The following is a 9704-nucleotide window of genomic DNA, read 5'->3' as shown; positions in this document are numbered from 1 at the left end:
CTATAAGGACTGAGATAAAATGCCAAGGACATATAGCTTGAAAAAGGCATGGCTAGAATGTGCACTCAGTATGACCTCAGCACCCAAGCTCTTTACCAATATATGCTGCAATCTTAGGCTCATCAACTGCACACAGTGAATTGTGGTGCTACTTCGTCTAAGCCTGCATTCTCCTTCAGAGCCTACACCTCCCTTTCAGCTGTTTTCACCTTCACTGTTCCAAAAAAAGCAGACTTTGAAAACTTAAGAAATGACATTAAAAAAAATCAAAATCGATTCAGATTGACATTCAACTTTATTCATTAAGTTGAACTAGGTCTAACATAAATGCCTAGGTATAAAACCTAAAGAATAGGGGCAGATGATTTTGTGAAAAGTAATAATAATAGTGATAAGCTTTTGCTTTTTATGAACAAATTTACAACCTACATACTTTATGAATTTGAAAGAAACTTAAATGATCTGATTTAACTAACTATCCCTAAATTCTGTTAACACGTCCCTGACAGATGATCTAATAGTGGCTGGGAAATTGGCACCACTCAAAACTTCCAATATTTACTGCTACGTTGCACAAAATTTCTGCTTCCATTTGAGCACACACTCATCTTCCTAAACTGTCAATTGATCTTAATTATACTATCCTGCATCCAGAGCAAAACATTTCTATCTCTTTACTATGTGTCATTCTTTATATATTTGAGACTAACATAAAAAACATGTTCCTCCTGGCTTGTTTCATTTTCCAGGGTAGCCCTGCCTAGTTCCTTCCTCTATTTCTCTGAATGATTTTTTCAGAATGTCTTCACTGTTCTTAATGGGTTCAGGTATGAATTTATTTCTCCTAAAATCCAGCAGTCAGAAATGAATAGGCTATTTAAGATATTGCTTAGCCAGATGAGTGGGACTCTGAATTTCTTTTCTGGAAAATTCTTTTTCTGGTAAATTTTCCATTGGGTTATATTAATTTTGTTTGTAGCTAAATTATACTGATGTGTAACTGAATTTTTTAACCAATGTGTTAACTAAGATGCCCAAGATGTTTTTCAATGTGTGTTACATGCACAGCCATACCTTCTATCTTGACTATTATGGTTGTTTCACCATATGCAAGATCTCCACAAGGTAAATACTAGTTTGTTTACATCATTTTAAATTCTGAATCTAGTAATCCTTGATTTGAAGCATGAAATAGCTAAGGCTGAGACTTACCCATTTTGGTATACAACCTCAAATATCTCTCCCAGCATTAATATCATCAACATTAAATGATCAGTTAATTAATGAATTATTTTAAAGAAAAAAATTGGGGACCAAATTTTATTTTAAAAGGAATTAAAAATAGGCTAAATTGAAACAGGAGAAACACTTAAAATGAAAAGCATTTTCTTAACACATACTATTAATAAAAATCAAATTTATGTTTTAAAGTTATATGCAAAGTATAGAGTATAACTTTTTTCAGATAATTTCACATTTTATTATTTACTCAATGTTATAAAATGTTATTTTCTCATGAAACATTTCAAAACTTTAAAAATAAACAATGTGTTCCAATCCCATGACCAAGCCAATCAGACTATATTCATTTTCCTGTTTTCTCTTAGTTATGATCCACATACATGAATAATACGTGTATTTTTAAATATTTTTCTTTAATTCTAGAATTATTTACCAAGGAAATTATATACCCTTAGAACATTGAGGATGCAAAGAAGCCTAGTAGAAATCAAAGCTTTGCCTAGCCAAATGATTTTAGTTCTCTACAGTTGCAATTTTCAATTTACCTCTTTATGTTCTCCCTATTGGCACTTTAGACTGAATACAGAAGCTAAAGCCTAGTCATCAGTACTTTAGCGTCAGATATACAAAGAAAAGCAAACATCAGACTTCTGTGCACTATAGAGTAAATGTGCCAGGAGAAAAAACATTTCCCTTGTGTAGCCCGCACAAAGACTTTCTTCCTCAGTCCTGTAGAGAGAAACACTTTCAAGGTCTTTTCAGTCCCAAAAGAGCTAGAGGACATTCACAACTATAAAAACTTTCCTCTTTTTTTTTTTAATATAGAAAGAAGTTGCCACTAACTGAAATGAACTGATTAAATAGCTCAAATGTGAAAATGGATTTTTAGCACATAAAAAGGTGAAGATAGGAGTGTACAGAAATGGTATGGGCATAATATAGTTTGCCTCAGCTTAGAACTGACCTTTTTCTTGTTGTGATTCTGGGTCCCTAAAACATTATACACTGAATGGAAAATAAACTCTCAAAGGAGAAAAGAAAAAGGAGAGAGAAGACTACTTTTCAACAGGAAGATTTTGAAGAATAATTCCTGCTATAAAACATATCTGTACACTATAAGGAATCACTTTCCTTATAATATCACATAGCTGTAAGTGACTTAATTTGCCCCAAACCCCAGTCTATAAATAAGGCACTTATTAAAGTTTTTGTGTAAGTGACTTGCTGTTTATAAGAATTTAAGATTTAGAGGTTAACCTCAGGCACTTAGACATAAATGAAAGAAACAAATTTCCAATTATCAAAATAATGTATATATTTCCTACAGGGTATTTTATTTTTCACAAGTTTCATTCTAGTAATGGAAGTAATAAGGATGATACTGAATGTGTACTATGCACAAAGCACTTTCTGTGTATTTTATCATTGATTCCTAATTATAAGTATTAAATGTATAAATAGTCCCATTTTGAATATAGACTATTTGAAACAGGTTAATTAACGTCACCAAAATAAAATAGTTGATAATCTTTGCAGTTGAAATTTTAATTCAGTTACATAGATACCAATTCATAAAACAATTTTGGTTTTGATATATAAAATCTAAAAACACACACACACTTGGGCACATAGACTTACACACATACACACACACACACACACACACACACCACTTAAAGACTAAAACAGGCTTGCAAGCTTTGCAAAAACTTTCAGTAAAGGGCCAGAAAGAAAATATTTTAGGCTTTGCAGGATGTATGGATTGTGTCTCCACCATCCAATGTTGCCACTGTCCTTCAAAAGCAGCCATGAACAATATGTAAGCAAATGAGCAATGGCTTTATTCCAATACAATTGTATTTATGAAAACAGGGTGCACTCAGATTTGGTCTCTGAGTGGTGGTTTGCCTATCTTGGCTTAAAATAATGCAAATTCTAGAAGTTTATACTTTCTGCCATAATTACATAACCATGTTTGAAAATGTTAATTTAATATAATGAGGAACAATTGTGTGATAGAAGTTCACAGTTAAAAAGCAAGACATAAAACAACAAGTTTGGAGGAGCATAGTAGCTAACTATCTAAACACTTCCTAATATTTTGACTATGCATTATGTAGGTTTCGAGAAAGAGGTTGTTGCAGACTGAATTACTGAATACCAGAAACCAACAGAGACCATGCACATAATAAATTTAAAAAAAAAAAGAAAGTCAGGGACATGTGACCAATATGCAGAAAGAAAATCTCAAAAATCTTTGTAGTAAAATGCAGTTATCTACAGTCAAAAGAACCAATAAGTTTCAAAAAATGATTCTTTCATTCTATGGTGGGATTTTAGGATAAACTGCTAAATAACTATTTCAGTCTGAAGTAAACATGATTAAATTTATACTCCCACTGGAAGAAATTTGTATTAGTTCATTTTCCTGCTGCTATGAAGAAATACTGGAGACTGGGTAATTTATAAAGGAAGGAGTTTTAATTGACTCACAGTTCCCCATGGCTAGGGAGGCCTCAGTAAGCTTACAATCATGGTAGAAAGGAAAGAAAGCACGTCCTTCTTCACATGGCAGCAGCAGAGAGAAGTGCCAAGTGAAAGTGGATAAGCTCCCTATAAAACCATCAGATCTCATGAGAACTCACTATCGTGAGAACAGCATGGGAGAACTGCCTTTATGATCTAATCACATTCCAAGCAGTCCCACCCCCAACAAGTGGGTATTGCAACTTGGATTACAATTCAAGATGAGATTTGGGTGGGACACAGTCAAAGTATATCATTCTACATCTGGGCCCTCCTAAATTTCTGGTCCTCACAATTAAAAACACAATTATGACTTCCCAACAGTTCTCCAAAGTCTTAACTGTTTTCAGCATTAACTCAAAAGTCCAAGTCCAAAGTCTCATCTGAGATAAGGCAAGTCCTATCCTCCTATGAGCCTGTAAAATCAAAAGCAAGTTAGTTACTTCCTGGATACAGTGGGATACAGGCATTGGGTAAATACACCCATTCCAAATGGGCAAAATTGGTCAAAATGAAGGGGCTACAAGGCCCATGAAAGTACAAAATCCAATAAGGCAGTCATTAAACCTTAAAGCTCTTAAATACTCTCCTTTGACTCCATGTCTCACATTCAGGTCAACATAATGCAAGAGGTGGACTCCTATGGCTTGGGCAGCTCTGTTCCTGTGCCTTTTCAGCCGAGTATCTGCAACTTTTCCAGGCACACAGTGCAAGCTATGGGTGGATCTACCATTCTGGGATCCAGAGGACGGTGGCCCTTTTCTCATAGCTCCACTAGGCAAAGCCCCAAAGGGGACTCTGTGTGAGGGCTCTGACTCCACATTTCCCTAGTGCATTGCCCTAGCAGAGGTTTTCCATGGAGGCTCCTCCCCACAGCAAATTTCTGCTTGGACATCCAGGTGTTTCCATACATCCTCTGAAATCTAGGGGGAGGTTCCCAAAAGTTAATTCTTATCTTCTGTGCACCTGCATGCCTAACACCATGTGGAAGCTCAAGGCTTGCAGCTTTGCACCCTCTGAAGCAACACCCAGTGCTGTATGTTGGCCCATTTTAGTCATGGCTGGAGCAGCTGGAATGCAGGGCTCCAAGTCCCAAGGCAGCACACAGCGGGGAGGCCCTGGACCTAACCCAGGAAGCCACATTTCCCTTCTAGGCCTCTAGGCCTGTGATGGGAGGGGCTGATGTGAAGGCCTCTGACAGGCCTTGGAGACATTTTCCCCATTTTCTTGGTAATTAATATTCGACTCCTCATTACTTATGCAAATTTCTGCAGCCAGTTTGAATTTCTCCCCGGAAAATGGGGTTTTCTTTTCTATCACATAATCAGGCAGAATATTTTCCAAACTTTTATGCTCTGCTTCCTCTTGAGCATTTTGCTGCTTAGAAATTTCTTCCTCTAGATACCCTAAACCATCTCTCTCAAGTACAAAGTTACACAGATCTCTGGGGCAGGGTAAAATGCCACCAGTCTGTTTGCATAGCAAGAGTGACCTTTACTCTACTTCCCAACAAGTTCCTCATCTCCACCTGAGACCACCTCTGCCTGGGTTTTGTTGTCCATATCACTATCAGCATTTTGGTCAGAGCTATTCAACAAGTCTCTAGGAAGTTCCAAACTTTCCCACATCTTCCTGTCTTCTGAGCCCTCCAAGTCTCTAGAAAGCTCTAAACGTTCCCACATTTTCCTGTCTTCTTAGGAGCCCTCTAAACTGTTCCAAACTCTGCCTATTACCCAGTTCCAAAGTTGCTTTCACATTTTTCAGTATCTTTAAAGCGGCCCCCCCACCAATGTGTATAACCAATTTTCTGTGTTAGTTCATTTTCAGGCTGCTATGATGAAATATCTGAGATTGGGTAATTTATAAAGAAAAAGGTTTAATTGACTCACAGTTCAGCATGACTGGGGAAGTCTCACATAACTTATGATCATGGCAGAAGGGGAAGCAAACACCTCCTTCTCCACATAGAAGCAGGAGAGAGAGAAGTGCCAAGCAAAGTGAGGGGAAAGCTCCTTATAAAACCATCAGATCTCATGAGAACTCACTCACTATCATGTGAACAGCCTGGAGGAACTGTCCCCATGATCTAATCACCTCCCATGAGGTCTCTCCCCCAACACATAGGGATTATAATTTGGATTACAATTTAAGACAAAATTTGGTTTGGGACACAGAGCCAGAAATAATTTAAAAATATTGAACATCATGTAGTACAGAGAGTGAATTCTGAGAGAGTAGGAAAAAATAAGCAAAGACCCACAATTGTTCTAGTTTACTGCCTAGAGAAATTTTCAAGGTGCAGCACAGGTAGGGGAAACCCAGGTAGAGCCTAGTGGTCTTGCTGAGTTGAGGAAATAGAAGTGCGTGTCTGTGGAAGTAAAGGTATCTAGAGTTTGTTGTAGAAAATACCATAGAAAAGAAAGCTGAACAAAAAGAAACCTCCAGAAATCTGCAAAAGTTCACCCTAGAAGCCCTTAGCTAAGAAATGATCAGCACATAAAGTTGAGGAAACCATCCAAGGCCAGTGAGAGAACCTCCTGGAAGGATTATTTTATGACTTAATCTGAAACAGAACCAGGGCCAGGAATAATTCTTGTTGCCACTAGCCAAGAGGAAAAAGACTCATGATTCACAAGGTACCAAGTAGAGTAATCAGAAGAATACTGAATCACTAACATGACAAAATTAGACTTAAACTAATAATTGCTCTCGTCTCATCAAACAAATTTTAAAAGTAAGGCTCCAAAAGATCACCTTTTCAAAGAAATGTAACTGTGCCTCAGAAGAAGCTCAAGAAAGTTTACAGGGATTTAAAAAAATATATGTAGCACTCAAGAAGGTAAAATTCACAGAAGCTAATGCCCAATAAAGGAAAAATGACCTGCATGCTAAGAAGCAGGTGATCCACAAAGAGTTGAAAATTTAATCAGTGGAAGCAGATCCACAAATGATATAAATAATACATTTCATTAATAAGAACAGGAAAAGAGTTATTAAACTATAAAACTATAACTATTATGTATAGTTCAAGGAGGTAGAGGAGATATTGAAAATGTTGAGTAGAGAATATAGAAAATGCAAAAAAAATCAAACTTCTAAAGATGAAAAAGTAAACATTGATATAACAAATACAATGGATGAGATAAAGAACAAATAAAATGCTGTTAAAGAAAATATTAATGTACTTGATGACACGGCCCTAGAAACTATCTAGAATAAAATCTAGAGCCAAAAATAAAGACACCAAAACTGGGAACTAAAACATAGAGCATCAGTGAGTTGTAGAATCATTTCAAACAGTTTTATATACTTATAATTGCAGTCCTTGATCAAATGGACTGAATCAAATGGACTCAGAAAAACAGTTAATTTTTTTTAATCTTCCAATTCAGTGAAAACTATAAATCCACAGATCTAAGAAGCTCAATGAAACCTAAGCACTAAATACAGTTTGGAAATGTTCCTTTATTTCTCAAAAGAATAGAACAACTTTAAAACAATTTTTTTTAAAGTCTTCTACCAAGTTAAAAGATGTCATTTATTTGCAAATTTACTTCATTGTCTATTTAAATGATGCCTTTTCTTGGGGATACACATGAATGTGCATTTTTGAGATATCATATATACATGATATTGTGTTCATCACTCGTGAAAAAATTTGGCTGGATATTAAAGAGTTGGGATAACTTTATTCACATAGTTATGTGAGATTTTACTCACATATTTTTTAATTTTACGATTCCGTAATGTAAATTTATGTGTTTATTTTTTTAGACAGTGTTTCACTCTGTTACCCAGGCTGCAGCATACTGGTGTGATCTTGGCTCACTGCAATCTCGACCTCTGGGCTCAGATGATCCCCGCACCTGAGCTTTCTGAATAGCTGGGATTACAGGCACTTGCCAACAAATTTGGCAATTTTTTTTTTTTAATGGAGTCTCGCTCTGTTGCCCAGACTGTAGTGCATGACACAATCTTGGCTCACTGCAACTTCCACCTCCCAGGTTCAAGGGATTCTCTTGTTTCAACCTCCCGAGTAGCTGGTACCACAGGCATGTACTACCATGCCCAGCTAATTTTTGCATTTTTAGTAGAGATGAAGTTTCACCATGTTGGTCAGGCTGGTCGTGAACTCCTGACCTCAGGGGATGCACCCGCCTCTTCCTCCCAAAGTGCTGGAATTACAGGCTGAGCCACCGTGCCTGGTCTTTTGTATGCTCTGAATTTTTTTTGTTTATTTGTATTCTCTGAAATTCTCTGAATTTCTCTCTTTTTTGTTTAATTTGCAAGTTTGGTGTATAAGAAATAATAGTAATTTTTTTGTACAATTTTCATTATTTAGAGGTTGAGAATATTTTATATATTTACTTTATATTTAAATTATCTTCTCCTAGGAGTTTTCTATTTGTGTCCTTGATTAAGTCTTCTAATAATGTCTATGAATAATTTTAACTATTTTAACAAGTGATAGAAATGTGACCGACCTTTTGTTATCTTTTATAGAAGAATGAAGAGATAAAAAAGAACAACAAAAAACTATACTAGCATATTTGTAATGAGTACATATAATTGCTCTTGAGGAAAGCAAATGTGTAGCTCAATACTATATATCTTTTATCTGACACAGCTTGATTTTTTGAAAAATAAAGCTAGGCATCAAAATAATGGTTCAAAGTACATATTTAAAACTGAGGTAGATTCTACTCATACAAGGAAGAAACCTTTTTTGTGTTTCTTGCCTTACAAAATGTGAAGATCAAACACGTGAAGCTGTCTTTAAGAATAAAATATCTGTTTTTAGTAGCCAATGTCTCCTTAATATAAATAAATATAATATAACTTGAATACATATATGCTCAATTTTAAATATCTCTGTTAAAATAGCAATCTTGTGCCTAAACCATTATGGGTTTAAAAATGTTTCCAAATCACATATGAAGAAAATAAGTAAAGCATCCATTATTAAAAACAATATATTTTGGATATCAGAATTTTTACAAACATATGTAAAGGTATTTTTTCAGAAATAACTATTGATTTTGTTTTAGAAATGTTTGTATTTAATTTGTCAACAACATTTATTTATTAACTACATCATTTAAGTTTCAACAGTTTGAGTCTGTTTAAACTAGTAGCACTAAAAAGGTCATTGACTTGTTTCATAGAGCTCAGTACAAACAAATCAAAAAACCAAGGTCGATCTTTATGTAATTTGTAGAGGGAAGTGCCTTAAGGGAGGTTTAGAAATTTAATTCATCAGACATCCAATAGTTTGTATTACCAAGAGTCAATCCAAAAAAACAGTCACTTCTATAGTTGTTCTGTCACAATGAGATGCCCAACATGTTGCTAAACATTTCCTGAAGATGGATCTATGAAATACTTGTTTTACAATTTAATGCCATGAAAAAATGTTTTATCTGTAAAAATCAATATGACTTATTTCTCATAATTATATCAAAAGATTTGTATAAGCTTGCTTAATGTTTCTGCAAGAAAACTCAGAAACAAATTTAATATTGAATTACTTCACCCAATAGGAATATTTATCTCTCTTCCTTTTTATAAGTAGTTTTAAATGAAATTCTAAAACGTATTTCTACCTTTGGACATGTTTACTTTGCATATATTTTTTGTAATACGTCTTTTTAATGCCTAGTAAAGAATGTAAAATGTATGTATACATATACTTTTCTTAAGTTTATCACACCATGGAGAGTCTCACTTCAGTGCATGCCATCTTTTATGTCTAATCTTCTATGTTATATATTATTTAACTTATTCCTTTTTTAAATTTAGTTTTTTCCATATTGATCCACTACTTGGCATAAGTGTTCTTGTGAAGCATGTGGGAGTGTATATGCCTTTGCCTTTTTTCTTTATATAATTTTGTAGTAGTCTAAAATCAAGATCAAATAGCCATATTTTATTTCTCT

The sequence above is a fragment of the Homo sapiens genome, chromosome 11 (assembly GCF_000001405.40).
Source record: "Homo sapiens chromosome 11, GRCh38.p14 Primary Assembly".
Lineage (NCBI taxonomy): Eukaryota > Metazoa > Chordata > Mammalia > Primates > Hominidae > Homo > Homo sapiens.
Note: the sequence above shows the minus strand (reverse complement) of the source record.